This window comes from Homo sapiens, chromosome 18, assembly GCF_000001405.40.
Source record: "Homo sapiens chromosome 18, GRCh38.p14 Primary Assembly".
In the NCBI taxonomy this organism is placed as follows: Eukaryota; Metazoa; Chordata; class Mammalia; order Primates; family Hominidae; genus Homo; species Homo sapiens.
The window spans coordinates 68,826,062-68,848,327 of record NC_000018.10 but is presented as its reverse complement, the minus strand read 5'-3'; the positions used below and the strand labels follow the sequence as shown (position 1 = coordinate 68,848,327).

General features: G+C 32.6%; 1 protein-coding gene across 8 annotated transcripts in view; it reads right to left on the bottom strand.

Annotated features, from left to right (window-relative positions):
* The window catches only part of CCDC102B (coiled-coil domain containing 102B), a 342,906-nt gene that overhangs the window by 209,794 nt on the left and 110,846 nt on the right, over positions 1 to 22,266 (bottom strand). For all 8 annotated transcript variants that reach the window (XM_047437804.1, XM_017025973.2, NM_001093729.2 and 5 more), the window contains 3 exons: positions 10,959 to 11,579; positions 9,402 to 9,622; positions 1,907 to 2,015 (listed from right to left, as the gene is read on the bottom strand). In XM_047437804.1, the coding sequence (XP_047293760.1) occupies positions 1,907 to 2,015; positions 9,402 to 9,622; positions 10,959 to 11,564 (936 nt within the window). In that variant the 5' untranslated portion in view covers positions 11,565 to 11,579. The remainder of the gene's footprint in view (positions 1 to 1,906; positions 2,016 to 9,401; positions 9,623 to 10,958; positions 11,580 to 22,266) is intronic.

The following is a 22,266-nucleotide window of genomic DNA, read 5'->3' as shown; positions in this document are numbered from 1 at the left end:
AGCTACGATAAATGCAAAGGTCATTATCAGAATTGTTGAGGAAAAAGGGAGTAAGAAAGAATAATTTACATGAAATTTTAAAGAATGAATCATGACACACCTTCTGATTGTCAATCAACTGTACGGAGACTTTGAATATTTTACTCTTATACTTGTGCTACAATACTATTTCTAAATATAGCCTAAAATTCTTGTCTGTTATAACCCATTATAAGAAATGATTAAACAAAGAATATATAAATAATTAAACTCATTCTAAGTAGTATTGTTTGTTTAGTTTTTAAACATTTTTAAAAATTTCACCTTATTTTATAAAAATAATTTAAACATATGTATATAACACATTTATTCAAAAAAACATAAGAACATCAGAAATGTATGTTAGGAATGAAAAGACATATTTTTAAAAAATTTCCATATAAATAATTCAAACAATGTTTCATCTTTATATTTATAAATTTTCAATGTCTACAAAATTTTACATTCACTGCCTTCATTATTCAACTTTGTGGTTCATTTAACTGAAATATGCACTCAAAAGACAAATTTTTCACAATTTTGAGGTTTCTCCTGTTCTGAAACCCTATCAGCATTTTATCTACCAAAAGCATCATATATGTATTAATACATATTTCTGAATGGTCATCAGATCCACCTTACACTGTATAATGTCATACTTTTATTTTTTCTCTCACTTACTTTGCTACCAAAAGTCATATTTGAATATAAAACATTAAACCTTTTCAGATACACATATTGCTTTTTAAACCAACTCAAAAACTTGACTTTTTCAGTATATTTGCTACATAAATGTTACTCAAATAAAGGTTTATGAAACTAAGAGGAAGATTAACAAGTCTGTGCTGCACACTAGTGGCAAGAGGTAGTAAATGCATTCTTTTTTTTACTTAAATTTTACACTAATTGCATCTTAAATATTAGCTTTTTCAGTCAAAATTCGAACCCATTATATTATAGAGCACATAAACACACATTCTAAACATAATGTGTTTTTGTGTCATGAACTATTTTTCCACTATACATCAATGTATTGTGAACGCCATACCCAGAGAGGTTCCTGTGCATAGAAATACTATGGATCCGTATATCCATGTATATGTTTGTGCACAGACGTATACATGTGCATACCTTATACTTATATTGCACACACACCCACTAAATGTTAACTCATGTAAAAATAGTCATTATTTTGCCCATTATTTTTCTTTTCTTTACTCATTATTCTTTCCCACACACTTATGTAATACCATGCTTTAATACACATAACATGTAAAATATTACTCAAATAATAAATGGTAATAAATCATCGAAATGGGAAACGTTCATGATGGCATTTTATTGATGAAAATGCAAAAGAAAAGTACCCTGGCAAGTGGCTGATCCCAAATAACTACAATGTCGATATGAAAAGAACCTCAATATGCCTGAGATAAATTGATATTATCAGGCTGCTTCATGAAAGAATAAGATAAAGTCATTTATGATAGATGGTGTGCTATCAGAGGATATCTTTAACCATCCCCTCTAATGTGCCTAGAATGGGTATTAATTGTGTCATGTAGCTCATCATTAACCATTTAACTATCAATATGGATATCAAAACATCATTTTTATATCTTAAATATATAGAATAAGATTTTTGAAAATAAATAATGACCAATATAAAACTGACACAAATGTGTAAATAAAAACAAGATGTCATAGAGTCTGAATTTGACCAAGCCCACTATTGACAAGTGATTTCAAGTATTACTCTTATAGAGGAAATTCCAATTTTTAACCTCCCTTCCTCTTATCTGTTGTGCCTTTCTGCCCACATGCTTACATATCCAAAGAAAGAAAAAGCTAGGCTTCATTTCTTCCTTTACATCATATTCCCCCATACCTCTTTCACATTTTTTGGCTTTGATTCTTTCAGTTCTTCATACTTCCACTTCCACAGAGACAAAGCCGACTCCAGTCTCTCTATTTCTTTTTCCAAAGCTGTGCGCATTCTAAATAATTTAAGAATTAAAAGAAAAAAAGTCGGCTTCAATTTTAAAATACTTTCAAGGATGCATTCAATTTTATAGGCATTTTCCTAATTTTTGATATTTGTAACTGATCATCTTAATGAGAGAAAACATTTTGCAACTCATTAAAAATTATAAATATTGAATAAAAGTATTTTAGTTTATTATTCTGACAATTAACTTTACAGTAGATTACATATATTTAATTTGGCTTTGCCAGTATTGACATTCTGCTTGCTTTCTTCTGTGTATTTCATGCTTGCCTCTCAATTCCTTTCACTCATAATATTCTCTTACATAGGAGGATATATATGTTTCTAATTTTAACATGGAATTCTATCCATCTTCATATTGTGGCTATTATGTGAATGAAAAAAATCATTTGAAATGACCCAGAATTCCAACAAGCCACCTAACAATCTTAAAAAATAGTCATTTACTGGGGATCTAAAAATAATTTTAAATATTTCAAATTTGATTGTAATAAAGAAATTTCACTGGGATCCTTATTTAAATTATTCTAAAGGACTGAAATTAATTTCTCTATTTGTAGAACTAGCAACAGAACTAGGATAAAAACTTAGTCCTTTAATACACCAACCACTGGATTTTTGTTTGTTTGTTTTGCCCACAATGTCTGAGTCATTGATAATTGTTTTATTTCTGGTTGTAATGAACATATATTGACCTTTGAAGCTGGCCTGTTCTTATCTGTAAGGTAGATTTGATTACTATTCAAAAATACTCATTGATATTCCTCCATTTCCACGGACAGAGTTGTTTTCCTCATTCCTCAATTCTAGGATTTGACAATGAGATATTAGCAGAGATGATAGAAACAAAAATTTGAAAACAACTTATATGTTTGAGCTCCAGGTAAATACACTTTGATTGTTATATGACACTGAGATTTTGTGATTGTTAGTTACATACTTACTGTATTCATAATTAACTAATATACGGATCTATTTCAGTGATATTAAATGTCACTAGAAAGATCTTAGAAACATATTCACAGAGCTAGAAAATGCATGCAGAATCAATATTGAATGTCATTTACATATTTATAAGAAAAATGATTCTTCCTGGTAACAATACTATGATAATTCAAAGTAGTGTTAGGCTGTAAATATATTAGTTTAATTCAATCAAATGGAGAAGCAGCCTATTAAAAAGTTATATAATTATATTTACATAAATCAAGCCACAAAATTGAAAGAGGATATAAAAGAATTAGTTAGAGCTTAGCTTAACCTCAAAAGACATAGGTTGCAAAAAAATGGTGCAAAGCACCACTTATAGGACTCTGATCCGGAATCCCTTATTAACATAGCAAATATATTAAACAAAATTAACAAACAAAGAGACTCAACTTGAAAGTTTAGGTCTTCTGAACACTGAATATGAATGTTTATAATCCAGATTAACCACAGCGGTCACAATTTCAGATAGAAAAGTAAACCTAGCCAGCTGAGGACACCCAAGTTGCTTATAATGATATAATTTTTGTTTTACTACTTGCGTTTGAGATGATGAGAGGAAAATAATTAAATAGAGAAATAATAAATCAGTAAGTATTAGTATTTTGTGTTAGATTTAGAAAGTATATGTACAAATCATCATATGGTGAAATATATTGCATATCTAACATTTGAGTGCATTTTAAGTTTTGGGTGATAAAATAGAATATTTAAAAGATATTGAGTATTGACTTAGACCTGTGAATTTACATTGAAAATTATAATAAAATTGTACTAAGTTTGTAACTTCATTGGAATGTTTAAGATAAGAATCACCATATTTATAATTTTAATTTTTTAGATTTTCTTGTGTAGGATGTGGGAATGTCTTGTCAGTAACTGAAAAACTGAAAAAGCAAATGGCATATGTTAAATTAATAAAATATTTTTATAAAAGATTTTAATTAACTGCATTTGTGTAATGAAGCATATATTTATGTTCCTCCTTAAAATTAATTTTGAGAATTATTTTATTTATAATAGAATGGAAACATACTTGAAAAATACCTAGAGTTAAAATCATACATGTTGAGAAATCAAATGTCTGCTTTTGATATTATACTTTAATGAATCAAATGATAAGTTAGAAACTCAAAATAAATTCAAATTCAAAAATTTTCAAAGAAAGTAATAGTTACCTCCTTAAATATACATCATAAAGAAAATATCTGATATGTATTTGTTTCCTAAAAGAAAAGTATGCATTTTTATTATGTAAAAGGTTACCATTTGGTTAGGGGAGTGAGAAAACAAGCAATTCATTAAAAATTATTTAATGACAATGGGATACTTAAATTTTTTTTTAGTATTTAGATAGCCCCATCATAAACTTTTGTGTCTCTGCCAGCATTAAGGACATTGTATGTCTAAATTTATGCAGCAGAGGGCACTCTATAAATCCTTAATTTTCTAGCCTAATCATTTTATTCTGTGTTTCAGAGAGATTTTCAAAATTGATGAATAATATAGTTCAATTTATAATTGGGATGTATATTATTGTCAGAGTATTTGAGCTACAAGAAGGCAAAGGAAAACACCTAATATTTACTCTAAATTGTTGCATAGTTTATGTACACATTCTTCATGAGAACGAAATTAAAAAGACAAAGCTCAGCAAAAATGTCGTATCTTTAATATGATGATATAAAGTTTAAAAAATAATATTGCTAAAGTATATAAAATTTGTAGAATCTAAAATAGAAAATGTGAACCAAAATTATTTTTATGAAAAGATGTGATTTTATTTCTATGCATTTTTTGATACTTTGTTTACTGTCACAATTCCACAATAATTGGAAATAAAATTTAAATTTCTAGACAAGAATATTACTCAAATATTTCTCATAGATGAAAGGTCCTAAAAATTAATATCTAGGAATAAATATTAATCATTGTTGAACTGTGTGAAATTTCACTGGAAAAAAATTGAATCATGATTTTCTGAAAAGGTGTATTAATATAAAAATGTTCTTACCAAATCAAATGATTATCTTGTAATAACATGCAGTTATTCATTTTTATAACAGTTCAAAATTTAGAGATAGTATTAAACTGTTAACAATACAAGTTTTTACAAATATACTTTAAGCAACATACATGTCATTTTGCAACTGCACTTCCTACTATTCATAATTACATCTTTCAGCACTGGGTGTTAGCACTCGGCTGTTGCAAACAGCCAAGCCATATACAGTTAATTTAATTAGAAAAGATAAGTGTTTAAAGAATATTGTTAAGCTCAGATCTCCAGGAGAATTATAGAACAAGGCTTGCAGATGAAGCGGACAGGGACCAAGACCAACTCTCATGCCACAAAACTGGTCCCATGAAGACCCCACTGCCTGTAACCTCCTCTGTCTGTTGCCTCTACACTCTCCTGGTAATATGTGTCTGGCAAGCAAACGTATTCAAATTAGCAAATTTGAGCGGAAATTGACATTATAGCTCAAAATATTTCTGGGGAATACATGCAGCCAGGAACACTGATGAGAAAGCCATCAAAATCTTCCTGTAAGCACACTATTTCGGCCACCATTAAGGTAGAGACATCACAGCGGGACCTCAAGATCACCAATACGGGACAGTGAGTGGTGTCACTAAGCACCAGAGGCCACCGCTGCCTCTGGAAACAAGTTGTCTTTATTGCTGCTGCTTCTCGCTTAGGTATGGATTCTAGATGCTGTCTATTGCCTTGCGGTATTGGCTTGGCTTAAAAGTCTAGGTGGCCACCTCTGATGCACTATTCCTAAGTCAAGTGTCTGTACCCTCATTGCAAAGGAAACCCTGGTAGAGACTTACTGGCATTTTTATAATCTATGCACAGGTGTAGACTCTGTTTCATTTGGCAGTGAATTGCCAAAACACAAAATAGACACTGGAGAGTCAAAAAATGGTAAAGGTTTATTGAATATTCCATGAGTGACAGTTAATAAAGTAACAAAATAAGCTTGATTTTCAAATATTTACAAATATTACATTAAATAGTATTAACCAGATTTGCATGTCAATGTATTCATTGAGGAATATATATATATATACTTTATATATATAATTTCTTAAATATGTAAAGTAGAAATCTGTGTCTTTCATACATATATAAAAAATAATATCCTTTGTAGCATTTTTAATTTGCTGAAGCTTCTAACCTGGATTTTAAATCTCATTAAGAAAAAAATTGAACATTTAATGAAGCATGCTACTTTTCTTACATAGAAAATAAATTAAGAAGACAAAATGGGCTGGGCGCAGTGGCTCACGCCTGTAATCCTAGCACTTTGGGAAGCCAAGGCGGTTAGATCACTTGAGGCCAGGAGTTTGAGACCAGCCTGGGCAATATGGCAAAACCCCGTCTCTACTAAAAATAAAAAAATAAAAAATTAGCCAGGCGTGGTGGCACAGCCTGTAATTCCAGCTACTTGGGAGGCTGAGGTGGGAGGATGGCTTGAGCCCAGGAGGCTGAGATTGCAGTGAGCTTACATTGCACCACTGCACTTCAGCCTGGGCAACAGAGCGAGACTGTCTCAAAAAGTAAAGAAAAGAAAAAAAAGATAAAATGATAAAATGGAAAGGGAGGACTGAAGCTCAGCTTAAAGGACACAGAACAAACATTTTACAAGTGATAAAGGAGGTCTCTGCAGTGAAATTTGAAAACTGATTCTGAAGTTTGGGACAGTTCAAATTATTTTATCTCAGTCTCTGTTACTTGAGATTTGGTATTGCCAAACCTCAGCTTCCCAAATGTTTAGGTACACATAGGCCTATAAGAGGATCAGCTTTCCTGGCCTTACTCCAAATTTTCTACCTGGGAAGTCTTTATGAAAGTCAACAGAAATATATAAATTCTCAGTATATGAGAAACTTTTATACACTGGATAATTATTCATAAAACTGAACAGTACTCAGAGTGCAAAGAAAACTATAAAGTTTCATCTATTTGATGAGGAGGTTCTAGTCAAGGACAATGGAAAAAAATGAGTCCCTGAGTTTTCTGAGTTGATTTCTGTGCACTAGTCAAGAAGAGAATTTTCCCACTAGATGGGAATGCAGAAAAAAATACATTCACATCTCAGTCGAAGCCACCCACTCACTGATATTCCAGGAAGAAGAATTTAAAAGATTAGATGGATTTATAAGTAATAGCATATCCTATATTCTTGGAAAATGTTCTCTTGTGATAGAAAAAAAGACTGATTGCCTCATGCGGATTGCATGCAAATGTTGATTCATGGACACAGGAACCATGACTCATCACGTCCGTGGGATTGTTTCTTAAAAGAGGAGAGTAGGAAGACAAAGCCATGGAAAGCTTCCTTTTTTCTCTTATTCTTTGGCCTGTCTATGGATTATAGACTGAAGTCACTGAGAACTGCAGAATGTACTTACTCTGAGAATTGTTCATTTATTCCAAGAAAGTAAAAAGTATATGTTGTGTATATGTATATGGATAAGCGTGTTAAGACAGAACATGCATATCTTTAAAACTGACACCTTAGAATAGAAGTTTACATCTAGAAAAACACAGCTCTGCATTGCTCCTATTAGACTGCACTGGGGAAGTAATATTGTATGTGGGCTGGAGAGAAGTCTATAATTACCAAAAAGTTAAATGCTTCAAGAAGTAAAACCACGGAGATTAGAATGTGACTGAAATGTATAGGGCTAGATAAAATTGTCACTATGTGTACGAGCCTAAAAATTAAATTCATTTTTATTCTGTTTTCTACTAATGTTGGTTGCCTCTATTAGGAATTTACACTTGGTAGAGTAATAAATATTTATTCTGTACATAGATACTTGTATGATCACAATCTACTAATCTAGTGAAATACAGATGAAGAATCTGAAAAAGGGAATTGGTGGCACTAGTAAATTTCAGAGGGACTAATGAGAAACTTCTGGCAGAAAGTAAGTGGTAAAGAACTTACTGTATTTGTGAATGGCTAGCATGCATATTTATCCCTATTTCAGTCCATTCAAGCCAGGAAAATTAAAACTGTTATATAATATATACTTATATAATACATTGTGTGTATATATGCATACATATCCTTCTTGCTTTTCTGGTTCTGCCTATTAAGATTTTTATAACTAAGAGATAAAAAATAATTATTTTTAGATTTTGGAACCTTATTTATATATTAGATATTCCACATTGTGCTAATAAAATTGTAAGCTGATTGCATAGAAACGAAAATCCATATTGAACATTTCATATTACTATTCTCTTTCCCAGATGTTATTTGTTCTTGATCTTTATGAGAATTCACTGAGAAAGGCTATGACAGACTGTATTTTGCAAAGATCGTTGCCACAATGACTGCATCCCACACACCCTTATTATAAAATTGTTTTCACACTCCTTCCATTGAAAGTGCCTCTCTCTCTTTAATCTGAGTCAGACTTTGAGATTCTCACCACCGATAAGTGGGTCTGACTTTTGAGGCAGAATCATTCAAATGGCGTTTTCTTCTCTCTGTGTTCTTAAGATGTTCACTTGCAACCTAGCCCCAATGTTGTGAGGAAGCCAAGCACCCCCTTAAATAGCCCCAGTGCAGGTGTCCCAACTGAGGCATAGATGAAAACCGAGATGGACTGCCAGATATGAGTGAAAGAGGCTGCAGCCCCCAGCCTTCCATGCATTGCCAGCCTTTGAGCCCTTGCAACTGAAGGCACAAGTGAGAGATACAATGTCCATGCCAAGCCATGCTCGCGATTCTTGAACAGAAGACAGGGTGGTTGCTGTTGATATGTTTTAATGATAATTACTTGGAAAAGTTTGTTTCAAGATAATAGATAACTGGAACATAACAGCACTACAGCTATTTTCACAAAGGGGCAACAGCCAACATCACATAGCTAGAAGACATCAGACCAAAGATGAATATCCAGGCCAATTAAGCAAAAGCCTGATGCCCTTAATGGTCCATGTATAAGACTACTTTTTCTGTAATAAATATCTCACAAAATTGTGATTTTTCCACTATTAATATTAACATATTTATTCATTTTTACTGACCAAGTCCAAGATGCTGTCAAACTTAAATAATACACTGGATATTTTAACCTTGTACATTAAGAATTCATATACAATTAAAGTGAATCTACCAGAGAAGATAAAAACATAGTCATGATAAAAGTCAACTTAAAAGAATGGAAAACACTAACAAGTTATAAACTACATTTTAAAATTCAACATATGAATATATATCAAACTAATTTCTTTAAATCCTAAAACTTAATGACTAAACATGGATAAAATACATTATCAAATGACCAATCTATCTGTATTAACAATTTTAAGTGATTTGAAACTTAGACTTGGTTAAGGGAGACAATGATTAGCACTTACTCTCTTTCCTTCCATAAGATTTTTTGGAATTCATCCAAATGCACCTGCAAAGCTGAAATTTCAGTTACTTCATTTTCCAAAGGCAGATTTATTGCTTTCAGTCTCAGCCCAGTTTTCGTTTCACCGTTTCCAGAACCACCATTGTTGAATAAATCAACACCATCTAGATTGGGCTTCATCTCCTCACTTAATTTTAGAGAATCAATAACCACACCTTGTTCCTGAAGACAAAACAAAACAAAACATATTTAAACCTCCTGGAGAAAAATCATGATGACAAAACATTTTCATAAAGAAATAAATGTTACGATACCACAACCAATTCATATTTTTATTTCATTATCATTCCCTGAAAGTGTTGTGTGGCCACACTTACTTGCATTCTTCTTTGAGCTTGTTTTTTTCTATGTTCTACTTTCTCATAAAAAAAATACATTTCTCAAAAGTTCTGCTTTAACTCTTGTTTGTTCTCTTTTTCTAATCGCAGCTAAAAATAACTCTGCACAAACTTGAACAGCTGTAAATAATTTTTAATGAGTTGATGAATTCCTCTTTCAAGTTTCTTTTGTCATAAGACACTTACAGTTTCAAAGCAATCATTTTTTAACATTTTTGAAAGACAAGATAGAATTTTCAGGAAGCTGTTGAATATTTTAAAAAGCTTGCTTATTGCTTCATTTTAGTTCCCCTTATTGCTTTAATTCATGAGTCACATCTAAATAGAATTTAATGGGGCGCTTTAATAAACATGGACATCAGTACTAGAGCAACAACTGCACGACACTCTTAGAGCGTAACTCAAAAACTTCACAGGACTCATGCTATTGGTATTTGCCTACAATTTAAATTTGCCCTGGTTTATAAGTTTGAAATGAAAGACAATTTCAAATAAAATCTCAATGAATAGTCAAGTTCCAGTAAAATCTCGATGATACTTCACTTTTATTTTATTTTTTAAGTAGTATGTGGATTCCAGGTTACCTAGGATGATTCATTCCTTAATTCTCTCAAGAATGAGCATTGCAATCATCTGTACTATAATATTTTGACAAGCAATAAAATAAGATGTGTTGTTCACGGAAAGTATTGAAGTCAGACGAAGGATACATATACATATCTTTCTTGTTAGGTCTCCTAACCCCCAGTACCTCAGAATGTGACTGTTGGTGGAGACAGGGCCTTTAGGGAGGTGATTTAGTTAAATTAGGGTCATTAGGGTGGGCCTAATGATGGTGCCCTTACAAGAAGACCTTAAGACACAGACATGTGTACAGAGAAAAGACCATGTGAAGACACAGGGAGAAAACGGCTTTCTATAAGCCAAGGAGAGAGGCCTCAGAAGAAACCAACCCTGCTAGCATGTTGATCTTGTACTTCTAGCTTCTACAATTGTAAGAAAATGAATTTCTGTTGCTTAAACCACTGTGATTATGGTACTTTGTTATGGTAGCCCTGGCAGGCTAGTATAATCACCATTGCATTTGTCACTTCCTTCTTCCTCCCCATCACTATATATGACCTTCAGAAATTCACATCATCTCTGGATTTTTTTCTTACCTTATTATTTGTGTCCTCCTTTGTAGAAAATTGTCTTTTTACCAAATACTCTCTGATAGACTCATGCATTTGTGAACTCAATTGAAATTGGTCTGTATGTTCACAGGATTCTTCTACGAAGCCAGGAAGCTTCAGATCCTGGGTAACTTTAGCTTCTAATGCCTCCTTCTGAGGTGGCAAACTCTGTTTCTTTTTCAGTGTACTCAATTCTTTCATCGCCATCTCTAGTTTTATTCTGAGTTGTCTTCCTTCCTCCCTGGCACTGTTCCTTTCAGCTCGAACTTTACTCCATTTTTCTCTCCAGTTGGCAGTGCAGTCCGACCACCACCGCATGGTCTTTTCCATCTGAGCAGCTCTGGCCTTGACTTCTTCAAGCTCCCGCAGGCGAAGTTCTTCACAAATATCCCATTTGTTGGTGTTATATGAGTGAGCACAGAAATTGTGAGCAGCATGAGATTGTAGCCCATGAAGTGGGAAGCAGGTATTACAGGTATCCCTGGGGGGTGAGGCAGGTGCCACCATGTCGCCGCGTGACTTAATTGATGATTGTTGCATCTGGAAGATCTGTGTTTCCTCAATTAATCGATGTATGGAATCTAAATTCATATTTATTTTTAAGACCTGAGAAAAGATAGAGACCATAATTTCACGCTGAAATTTCCCTTGTAAATACAGGAACAAGACCTACACTTTTTTTTTTTTTTTTTTTGAAAATTGATGAAAACAATGCTTTTTTTTTATTTTTGACAGAGTCTTGCTCTGTCACCAGGCTGGAGTGCAGTAGCATGATCTCGGCTCACTGCAACCTCTGCCTCCAGGGTTCAAGCGATTCCCTTGCCTCAGTCTACTGAGTAGCTCGGACTACAGGCATGCGCAACCACGCCCAGATAATTTTTTGTATTTTAGTAGAGATGGGGTTTCACCATGTTGGCCAGGATGGTCTCGATCTCCTGACCTCGTGATCCACCCGCCTCAGCCTCCCAAAGTGCTGGGATTACAGGCGTGAGCCACCATGCCTGGCCGTGCTTTTTCAATATTGCATATTTTTCCAGTGTAACTAAAAATACAGAGGAATTTAAACACTTGTAACTATCCACTAAGAAACAGAAAATGCTCGTATTCAATTTTGCCAAATACAAATAAAAATATAAAGATGCAATTGAAGATAGCATATGACATAAATAATTCATTTTGACAATTCCAGTTCTACTTAGGTCATATCTATTGTAACATTGTCCACTACGAAATACAAATTGTAATATTTATTGTCCACTAACTACATAATGGTTTTCTTTATCCCTGCGAAGCCTCAATTTGTTCAGGCAGAATGCACAACCTATTGATCTATAGGTTAACAAGCCTCTATCCCAGTCCCAGAGGTTGAATCATAGTCTACATTTTCCATGATGCCCTTCATCTGTTGACTATTGACTAGTCTCAAGGCAGCCATAGGGTCTGGCTCTGGCGGCTGGGATGTGAGATGAAGGGTACTGAGAAGATTTCCCATCTAGAAAAATATGAGAACATCACAATGAGGAACTCTCTTTCCTCTGCCTTCCGTGTGTTTGAATAAGGACATAGTTCTGGAAGAAGGTGAGTATAACAGCCTTCTCATAACATTCAAAATGGTGAATCATGAAGATAAGAGACTGATTTAAGGTGCGAATTATGGCATGACACGTAGAATGCATACCTCTGAATCCTTTGCTATGTGAGCAGGATAACCTATATTTATTTAAGTTATGATGGTTGAGTTTTCTGTTATTTTCAGGCAAAAGCACATCTAACTTCTACATGAATTAATTTCTTACTGTGGTTAATATTGTGATAAGGTCAAAAATAAAATATTATGAAAAAGACATGGTTCTTGTGTGTCAAAGATTTTACAGTCTGGTGGGTGAGAGAAGCAGAGTTAAGTTTTAAAGATACATAATTCACATTATAACAAATATGTGCATTTGTTCAATAACTTTATTTATTATGTAATATGTGTCAAGTCAGTGTTAGATTCTTAGGTATGGTCAAGGTAATCTAAGGGGTACTGAAGAAGTTATGACTATCGCTTAGAAATGAGGAAACTTTACAGCATAGATAACACTACACAGAGTCTTAGCCCAATGCAAAGCTTTGTAAAGGAATTAAAATCAACTTTCCATACAAATACCAACACACAAATTAATTTGTAAAGGTATACCATATGTAACAATACATATACCCAATTCTTTATTCAACAGTTTAATTTAGGTATATTGAGAATATAGTAAGTAGAATTTTTGCTTTAAAAAGTGCTGAAAATATGCAGCTTAATTTGTAAATTAATAAAGTTCCATGGCTGTATATAATTACCCATTTTTATTCTCAGATACGCTTTTCTGGTGTAAATAATCTTATATAATATTTTATGTGCATGACATTAAATCCTCTCACTTTTTTTCATCTGCTTTTATATAGTTACAGATCATAAATCACCTCCTTATGACCCATCTATTTAATCAACTGAATGGGTTTCATTACTTTAACTAACTTACAAAATAAGCCTTTAATCATTGGGAAAAAAAGACTATATAATATTTTAAAAGATGAATATTAAGGCTATCTTATTAATAGACCTTATAATTTTAAACTTAATATTAACTTTTAATTGTAGAGAAAAAACATTTTAACAAGTGTTATATAGAGATGTCAAACCACTTCACTCTTCATTGTAACACTTGTAATAATATAGACTCATGGTTGTAATTAGTTTTGTTAGCATTGGTATATGTCCAGTCATGTTTCAATTATTGCTGATTTGGAGTGTTTTGTTCCCTTCATTTACTATAATTCAGAGGGCAATAAGAATACAACTGACCAAATTCCAACACCAATATAAAAAAGAAAAGAACAAAAGGAACTCTTAATTAGAAACACAGCAAATATATATATATATATATATATGTATTTACATATACAACTACATATATATATTTACTATTCACTATTTAATGATATTTCTTTTGGTTGAAATTCCAAAGTGAAGACAGAGAATTTAATTCAGCATATTAAACTTAAATTTATCCTTGCTAGTTTTCAAAATAAATCAGTATCATAAAATTGTAATGTCTTTAAATGTCTCATTAACTTTTATTTCACTAGTGTTTTGAAGATGCCATAATTGGATTCTGGTACATTGAGATCTTGCCTACCAATTAACTGTGTATTTTTTCACATCTGACTAAATAAAAATGAGTTGGGCTTAATCAGTCAGTCCTTGAACTTGGAGAGTATTTCCTGTTTTAAAAAGTTTTCTCAGGCAAGGAAAACTTGCTTGAGATGAGACTGGTTAACACACATATGCATATGCACTAAAGTCTTCATTTCCCTATACAAATGTGTGCACTCTTCGTATTTTAGCTCAGACAACTATGAAAGTATTTGCCAGTGGTTGTAGGACAGGGCCGCTGATACGTGGGAAAATATTTTAACGATGTTGACTCTGGTTTCTTGTACCGATTTTTGCATTGTAAAAATGCTCATACAATCAGGCCACCATGATTCCTGCAAATATTTTTGAATGTAGTACATAACCAAATAAATAAAATGTTAAGGGTCTACAAAGTATATATAATATCACTAAAAAATATTATTTGTTGCCAAAGAAGAACTTAATGTGTCAGTGGACACCAGCCTCTATCAGGTAGAGTCTTACTCTGCCACTTTTTAGACGATGATCTTGGACCAATTACATAAAACTGCCTTTCATTAAATATCCTTAGTATAAAAGGAGACAAGAATAGCATGGGCCTCATTGAATTCTTCTATTAAAAGGGAAAAGGCCTGCAGATTGGTTAGCCCTAGCTACCTTGCAGGCAAAGCATACATTTTTCTCTGTTATACAAGTCATTAGTAAGTCACCTTGACATACTAATTGTACCATTTACTTTTTTGTGTGTTTTTCCCTCTGTCTCTTGAAAGAGAAATGGTGTACTTAAAAAAAAAAAAAAAAACAGGAAAAGCATAGGAAAAATGAAATTTACAAAAATGTTCTGTATGTAATAAAGTTGCAGTTCCAATTTCTATATAATGTTGATATCAATCAGTGGAATAGTCAGTACTATTATTATCCCCGTCTTAATGATAAAGAAACTAGGGCTTAGGCTCTGATGTATCCAGACAAGTCATACAGTTAGAAGGGGTCAACCCAGTTTGGAAACTGAGGAAATTTGAATCCTGAGCTACCACCTTTTCATATGAAAATTCTGCAGCTTCAAAATATCAACTGTTTTCACTATAAATTTTTTAGAGTATTTCAGGAATACATTTGGCATACTTCCACTTTGGATATTTTTAAGCTAAAATATCTCCTATTAAATTACACAACAATTAGTCTTCTCATCCTGACACTGTCCTTTGAGTTCATTCAATCTCCTCATCATAGCTCAAAGGGACTGTGAGGTCCAGGCCTGTCCATCCCTCTGGCTTCCTCTTTGTCACTCCATCTTCCACATCCCCTGTGTCGGCTACCTGGATGTGTCCATTCCTTGCACAACCTCACCTCCACCTTCTCCTTGGTGCAACCTGTTTGCTCTGCAGGAGCACGCTCCCCACTCTCCGCAGACTCTCTTCCCCCTGGCTTCTCATCCTTCAGGTAGCAGGTTATACTTTCCTACTAACTAAACCCGTGATCTGAGAATTCTAGATCCCTTAGTGGCCCTTTGTCTAAGGGTATCCAAGGGAGAGGACACAGTCTTGGGTTCTTAGTTTCTGTTTCTGACTGGGGTAGTAAAACCCCTTCCTCATCCCTCTTTTCCACCTATCACTAGAAACAGAAGCTAAAAACCAAGGTTTCCGGCTGCTGAAAGCCTAAAACAAAACAAAACACAGCACAACAACAACAACAAAATAAAGTGGGTTGAATATCCACCGCTGACCTGCTCCTTGAAAGTGAACAAAATAGACATCACTTCTGCCATCCTGAATGTTGCTAACAATCATAAACAATAAACCAAACTAACAATCACAACTTTTAACTAAATCTTTGAAAGGAGCAAACAGTGTATTGCAATCCAAAAAATCCCTCTGTACTTAGGAAAGTCTCTCCCAAGTGACATTTTATGTATTATCTGAAAAATGAAATGGGGCAGAAAGAAAAGCATTTTTGGCAGAAGTTAAACTTCCATGGCAGGATAAAAGAGACATTAAAAAGATTTTTGTCTTATTGTTTATCGTTATTGCTTTATCTTAATCTATAGAAAATGAAACCTTTGTTGAATTTTTTTTTTCCTAAAAAGCATAGGACCTGTAATGCACACAAAATAACAAAAGCCATTTGCAGTGAGAAAATAGATTAATACAGATTAAAAGCACAATGCTAAGAAACAACCATTATGATAGATACGATGACATATACTCTGATAAAAAGAAAAAAGAATCTGTTTTTAATATTCAGGAAAATAAACACTTTATTGTATTATAAAATGTGGCCTGTCAAACATGCACAAATGATGAGTATGAAAATGCATTTTGTATAGATCTAAAGCATATATACATATATATGAACTTTTGCAAGAGTACACAGACTATTAAATGGAAGACTATAGCTGTGATGATGAGATAAATGAAACCATTACAGTAAATGGCCATATGGAATCATATGTGTGTAGTTCAAGATTTGTTCATGCTTAAATATTCTATTTTAAAAATCCTTACGCTGTAGCAAATTATACAGACAGCTTCCATCTCTGCTAGTTGGTGCAAATGAGAGGCTTTTAAATTGTACAGAGACAGAAAATAATTCGCCAAAGCAGGCAACTTAATAATATAAAATAAATCTGAACAACTTGCCAATAATTTAAAGCTTAGATATTTTACTTTCCAAAAGCATTGTAACATAAAATGAGCATAAACACAAAGTTTAAAACAATGTCATGTTTGCCAAGAGTCGTTATTAAATTTTAAATGGCATTATCTGATCAGATAGATATTACCTCTATTTTAAAGAATTGGCATGGAATTAATACAGTAAGCATGACCTTTTGCTAGCTTACTCTTCATTGCTCCCTCTTCAAGCTATTGCTATTAACTAGTGTTATTGAAGCAATATGTCACTGGTGCAAATCTATGTGATGCCTTTCCTTTAGGCTAGGTTTTCAGTAAAATTATTTGAGAAAAAATAGTGATAAAAATATTACGTTTCTAAGATAATGTTCAATGATTTTTAAAACTCCAATTCTTTAAAAATAAACTATTTCAGAGTCTCTCCACATAGTATCTTGATGTCATTGCTGTGTTTTCTATAAGCTTTAAGGGGCTTAAAAATTACATTATAATAATAACCTCATAGATCAGAGAAAAAAAGTGACCAGTGTGACTTCTTTATAATATGAATAAAGAAATACAGAGAGATCCAAAATCCATAATCCGTTTTATAAAGTGTCAATGCATCATTTGTTATGAGTCTTGGAAAAATAAAATTCCTGTTTTCTGGCAGGCTGATCAACTTGAAGCCTTTATGGTGCTTCGCCTGCCAAGTACAAATTTAGGTTCAGACAATTTAGAATCTTCTTGGTGGATACATCATTTAACTACTCTTATGAAGTACTTGGGATGCCAAGCAGGTTCAAGAAAGCTCTGCTCTAAAATATTGCTGAAATTTCTCACCAGTGTACAAATTTTGAGACTTAAAGAGATTATGTCATACATTTGAGCTTAGCAGCCTATTTCTGTATTATATAGAATATATATGGAATAAACATAATATACAATATTATATATACATATACATGTATATATAATCTGTTCTACATATTTTACCTGTGTGTATGGAAACCTGACAGTCAATTCATCAGCATTTTAAAATATTTATACTCATGCCAAGGTTTTAGTGAACAAAGCCACAAACTATCCCAATTTTCTTATGCAATCTAATCCAACTTAATGGTGCCAAATAAAAAAGCCAAAATATTTCTTGAGACCTTAAGCCAAAAATAAAATTAATATTAGCTCTGCTGGAACTGTATAGCCCCACCTAATCTTATTTTTGTATAAGAATGTGCTTAGCAGCTTAGCACTATTTCCAGGTGGCTAATAGACATGGTGCACATTTTATGGGAAATAACACTGCACAAGCCTGATATTGTTAAAGGTTCTACCACTTTCTAAATTTAGGCAGGTGACTGTATCTGAAATTTACATTACTATGTAAACATCATCTTGTAGAACCTCATATCGATTAAATGACAAAGATGACAATGTAACTGTTTCCGGAAATGCTAAAATGTTAAAAGGAAATTAAAATGAGAGCACATAACCAATAACTCCAAATGATAATTATTATCAATATCTAATGTGAGAGCAAATCACTCTATGAAATAATTCCTATCACAGTTCCACTACAAACTAGGTGGTACTAAGAGAAGGACGGTTGTATCATCAAGATCAGGGAATTTTTTCTGTTTGTTGTTGTTGTTTTTACATTTAAAATCTATTTATTTGTTAAAATAATAGATTTTCTTTAATACTGAATTCATCGAGATTTCCAAATATTTTTGTGCATTTAAGGTTTCAGGAAACAAAGCCACAGATGACCCCAATTTTCCTATACATTTTCTAAGCAAAATTCCTAAACCGTTTACCATATTCACACTTGTTCTTAAAGAATCTGTGTGGCTATGTCACAAGATCTTCACAGGTCTATTTACACTTTGTGGTAAACAGGAGAAAGCTCTTTATGTCAGTGAAATGCGGTAATATTTTCTCACACCCATTTGATAGGATGTGCAAAGCTGCCAACTGCTTTATGTTGGCTGACTGGAAAGTTTTCTCAGACTTCACGAAGTTTGAAGAGTGAAGATCAAAGATTGTCCTATTTATTTTCAAAAAGTACATATAATATTTTTTCAATCAAGACAAAATTTATTCTTAAAGTCAGTTTTATTTTCCCAACAGTACATTCTTTACATTAATAATCTAATTTGGCTAAACTGTATTCCACATCAAAAAGCAAGAGAAAAAACTGGATTCAGAAGCAGACATTTTACAATGTATTTAAGACTTTCATGAGCTATACCTGTGCGTATATCCAAATACTCCACTTCAGTCACCCCAGTTCTTACTAAAGCAAAAAGCATTTCTGTAAAATCATGCATGATATCATATGTTAAACTTTATTTTGTATGTATGAGCTGGAATTCAATTTTCACTGTAAATAGCATGACCAAAGGGTAAGATTTACACTTTGAAAATATAAATCGAATCAACAAAAAATTTTTTAAAAGCCCAGCTCCTCCAAATTGCAAAATTTCTGGTGAATCCAAATGTTGTAGCGAACATGTAGGAAAGATGGGCAAGATAGTTTTTTCTTTCAGAAAAGAGAAAGACCAGACATAAGAAAGCTACATCTTTCACCCAGACTTCAAAAGTAAGGAAGCCAGAAAAGCCACTTTTCAAATATACCCACTAAGAAGTTGTATAAGATTGTCATACACGTCTTGATGATCAAGTCAAGCAATATTTTAAAATTATAACAGTATTTAACTTATTTATTCAGTATATTGATTGGAAGTGACATGACAGAATATATTTAAATATATATTCACATAATGTAAATATATTCCAATAAAAGAAATAACAATTTAAATATTTTTAAATAAAGTAACAATTTAAATAAAAGAAATAACAATTCAAATATATTTGAATTGTTTTTCTAAGTTTTTTTCTAAGTTTCCTGTGGTAGGAACTTAGATTATTGGCTTGATTACCTTACTTCTAATGTAAGAATTTAGGGCATGATCTTTCTTCTCTGCACTACTTTAGCTGTCTTTCAAATATTTGACATTAGCATTTTCATTTTATTCAGTTTTGTATTTTTTTATTTTCTTAGCGAATTCCTCATTGAACCATGAATTATTTAGACATGTGTTGTCTAATTTTTGCTTCTTTAGAGATATTTCTGTTGTATTTCTGCTGTTGATTTTTAGTTTGATTTCATTACAGAAAGAGAACATACTCTGCCTAATTTCAATTCTTTTACATTAGTTGAAGGTTTTTTTTTTTTTTTTTTTTTTTTTGTAAATAGGGTATGTACCTTGGTGAATGTTACATGACACTTGAAAATATGTATATTCTGCAATTGTATGGTGGAATGTTCTATAAATGACAATTAGATCCTATTTGTTGATTGTATTGTTCAGATTCTCTATACCTCTGCTGATATTCTGTGTAGTCATTTTATTAGTTGTTGAGAGAGATTTCTGAAATCCTCAACTATAATTCCTGACTTGTCTGTTTCTCTTTTCAGCCCTACCTGTTTTTGCTTCATGTGTTTGGAAGCTGTGTTGTTTTACTAATACTCATATAGGATCATTATGTCTTCCTGATGTATTGATCCTTTTATCATTATGAAATTTCCCTCCGTGTCTGTGTTGGGTTTCTATATTTTATTTCATTTTGTTTTGTTCTGAAGTGACATCTCTGATATTAACATAGCTACTCTTAGGTATTTTTTAAAAACTACTATTTCCAAGTTACTTTTTTCCATCCTTTTATTTTCCATTATTTTATTTGTGATAGATGGCAATCTTAATTGATGATCTGAGGAAGTGAGTTTCTTGTTAAGTTCCTTACTAATAGCATATAACTTGCTCATGCTTTTTGTTTGTTTGCTTGTTTTTGTTTTATTCACCCTGCCAATCTCTGACTTCTACCTCGTCTATTTAGGCCATTTACATTTACAGTAATTATTGATGTGTTAGAACTTATATCTGCCATTTTATAATTTGTTTTCTTTGTGTCCTCTCTTTCTCGTCCCTGCATTTCTTCTTTTGCTTTCTTGCTTGTTATTTGAATTTTTGTTTGGATTCCACCTGGCTGATATATGTACAGTATTTTTTAGTTTATCACTTTGTACAGTTTTCATACTTATTAAAATACACAAATGTAACAGCCTTATCTACTGGAAATCAACATTTCATCACTTCAAGTGAAGTATGGAAAACTTATTTCTCTTTAGGTCATTTTACCTTCTCTATCATTAAATATCACTTTCTTGAGTATAAAATGATTTTATAATTTTCATTTCAATCATTAAATATGATTTATAAAACAAATGAGAAAGATATTCTATCTTATAGATTCATATTTCTATTTGATTGTTCTTTCTTGTTTTTTGATGCTACAGGATTCTTTTATCATTTTGTTTCTGTTTATAGAATTTCCTTTAGCCAATTTTTAAGGGTAGTTCTCGCTTTTAATAGCATCTTATAGCTTTCCTTGATCTGGTGTCTTTACTTTCCATTCATTCCCCAAAGGATAGTTTTACCAGTTCTATAATTATCACTTGATTTTTTTTTCAACACTTAAAAATGTACCATCTCCTTGTAGCCTTTGTGGCTTCAGGTGAGAAATTCACTATCATTTGAATTGATATTCCTAGTGTTGACATTTTGTATTAGAAGTTCAACATTGGTTACATAGTAATGTAAATACTATGGCATATAAATCTTTCATTTTAACTCTTATCCATAAATTTCAAATATAGATTATAGCTATGTAACAATGAATGTGATCAATCAGGTGCTAATAAATGCCAATAAAAAGAGAGATTACGGTCATGACTTCAAACCTTGTAATTATATTTTGTTTTATTCTTGATATGTTTCCTTAACCTCAGAATAATTGGGTAAAATGGAAAAGAAAAAAATTCAAATTGATTTTCCCAGTGTGTTTGTATATCGTTTTTTAAAAATAAAAATATAGACACACTTCTAAAATGTCCCTCACTTATCCCCTCTTTTGGTATTCACAGCCTTGTCTAATTCCCTTCCTCTCAGTGGGGGCTGGCCCTGTGACCTGCTTCTAACGTATAATATGTTATAAAAGTGGTAAGATGCGACTTCTGAAATCAGGTTATGAAAGAATGAGATTTCTATGCTGCTAGCATTCTTTTTATTGCCTTCTCTCTTGGTCACTGATGAACCCAAGAGCCATGTCATAAGCAGTTGTTTGGAGAGGCCCACGTGGCAAGGAAATGAGGAAGGCTTCTGGCCACCAGCTCCCAGAAACTAAATCCTGCCCACAACCATTTGTGAAATCTTGGCAGCAGATCTACCCCAAGTTGTGTCTTCAATCCACTGCAGATCTGGCTGACGCCTTCCCTGCAGCCTATGAGAGAGACTCAGGGCCAGAGGATTCAATTAAGCCACACATGTATTCCACAGAAACTATATTGCTGCATAACAAATTACACCAAAATTTAGTTTCTTAGAACACTAAATTTATTACCTCACTGTGTCTGCAGTCTATTAAAAGAATGTGAATTGTCAGAAAAATG